Source organism: Homo sapiens, chromosome 9 (genome assembly GCF_000001405.40).
Source record: "Homo sapiens chromosome 9, GRCh38.p14 Primary Assembly".
Taxonomy (NCBI): Eukaryota; Metazoa; Chordata; class Mammalia; order Primates; family Hominidae; genus Homo; species Homo sapiens.
This window is the reverse complement of record NC_000009.12, coordinates 96,778,088-96,780,578: the sequence shown is the minus strand read 5'-3', so window position 1 is coordinate 96,780,578 and position 2,491 is coordinate 96,778,088.

The following is a 2,491-nucleotide window of genomic DNA, read 5'->3' as shown; positions in this document are numbered from 1 at the left end:
CTGCCCTTCAACAGGTGAATGAAGAAACACTACTAAATTAGTGAGTGATACTTTAAGAGAAACATGATGTTTTATAGCCTCAAAATATCTCACTGCAGGCCAGTCATGGTGGCTCGCGTCTGTAGTCCCAGCACTTTGAGAGGCAAAGGTGGGTGGATCGCCTGAGCCCAAGAGTTTGAGACCAACATGGACAAAAACAAAGAAAGAGAAAGAAAAAGGGAAAGGAAGGGAGGGAGGAAGGGAGGGAGGGAGGGAGGAAGGGAGGGAGGGAGGTCCAAAACTTAGCTACTTGGGAAGCTGAGGTGGGAGGATCACTTGAGCCTAGGAAGTCCAGGCTGCAATAAGCCGTGATCGCACCACTTCACTCCAGCCTCGGTGACATAGTGAGACCCGGTCTCAAAAACAAACAAACAAACCAAACCTCACTGCAAATATTTATCAGCTGCGGTGGTGCTGCATCTACACACACAGCGCCGAACTTGGAAGTTGGCGGAGAGCAGCTCTTTGGGCACCAGGCAAGGTCTCAGCCTTCAGACAGATGTGAAGGGCGAGACTTTCCTTGGAAAGGAATTAAAGGGTTTATCTTTTTAAAACACCTGTTTCTCTTAAAAACTTAAGAAATGTATAATTTAAAAATTTAAAACTTTGATATTATTAATTGCTTATTGTTGAATGAATCCTTGTGAAAATTATTGATTGTAATGTTAGTGCCATGGATATGTCCTTTGTCCCAGCACCTATCTCATTGTCCTAACAAGGTTACTGAAGGTTCTCTTTCCACTGCTTTAAAAGCCAGCTGATACATACTACATTCTTTCTTTTTCATATAGTTGAACTTTTACTGCACCAGGATAAATTTTTAAATATTTAGTGATAGTATACATAGTAAATATAGAGATATTGCTATGCATTTTCAATTCTTTTCTGATCATTACCATAAGTTTTTATTAGAATGAAAATTGGAATAGTTCCTTTAGGAAAACAGGCAAAATATATAAATGTCAAAAAAAGAAAATATATACTTAGAAAACATAGATGATTAGAATTTTTAAAAACAAATGTTAGTCTTTTCCTCCAGTATCTATTAAAGTGTTTTTCAGTGTCAACAGTAAAATTTTATACCTTGATTCATATATACTGCACTAGTTTACTGTTGCCATTAATCTTTTTTCTTGCTAATCAAAACTTATCATTGCCATATAAAATAACCTGTTAGAAAGTATCAACCGTGTGTGTGTGAGTGTATGTGTGTTACTAAAAAGAGTGTCATAAAATACTGTGCTGAGAGGTTCCTAATTTGGTTCCTGATTTCAGAAGCATACCACATAAGATTTAAGCAAGCTCATCTCTAGGAGATGCATAATTTGTGGATAACGGTTTTCTTAGTTGGGATTGTGTGTACTTCAGGTATTATGTAATGCTGAACAGCTTACTTGCTTTTTCTTTTTTTCCCCCCAGAGATAAACTGAGGATCACAAATATTATTCTTTTATGTTAATAATGGTTTCCATTTTCTAGTATTTGTTACATTTTACGGCTTTATTCACAAAGCTGTTTATGTATTTTTGTGGCAGCTCTAAGTTAAAAGGCACACTTGTAACATTACAGTCCCAATTTTCCCTTTATCAACTTTATATTATAAAATTTTCCAACACATAGTCAATAAGCATGTCCATATTCTAGAAGTAGATATTCTTAACATTTTGCCATACTTCCCATTTCTAATTATTTTTTAAAAAGAACTTACAAACGGGCCGGGAGTGGTAGCTCACGCCTGTATACCCAGCACTTTGGGAGGCCAAGGCAGGCGGATCACTTGAGGTGAGGAGTTCGAGACCAGCCTGGCCAACATGGTGAAACCCCGTCTCTACTAAAAATACAAAAATTAGCTGGGCGTAGTGGCGGGCGCCTGTAGTCCCAGCTACTTGGGAGGCTGAGGCAGGAGAATCGCTTGAACCCGGGAGGCGGAGGTTGCAGTTAGCCGAGATCGCGCCACTGCACTCCAGCCTGGGCGACAGAGTAAGACTCCGTCTCAAAAAAAAAAAAAAAAACCAAAAAACCCAAAAACTTACAAACATAATACAATCCTAAATACTTACATAGACATCTCTTTATGAATAAGCAAGATTACCTACATAATCCCAATGCTGCCACAATTAATTAATAATTCTAATTTCCAGTCCGTATACAAATTTTCCCAATTGTTTTCAAACGTCTTCCGCGGCTCTTGCTTTCTGTAACCACACGCTGCATTTGCTGTTATGTCATCAAGTCTAACCCACAACCTCTGGGGCTCTGACAGAACCCGGGCTCCAGTTATCAGGACGGTCCATGTTATTACGCCATAAATCTTGGGGGAAAAACAAACAAAAAAACACTGACAGCTGGCGCCGTACTGCATGTGAAACGTAGTCTTGCATGTTATGGGTTACCGCGCAGCATGCTGGGAACGGATATGCGCGTTTTCGTCTGCGCATGTGCAGTCAACCCC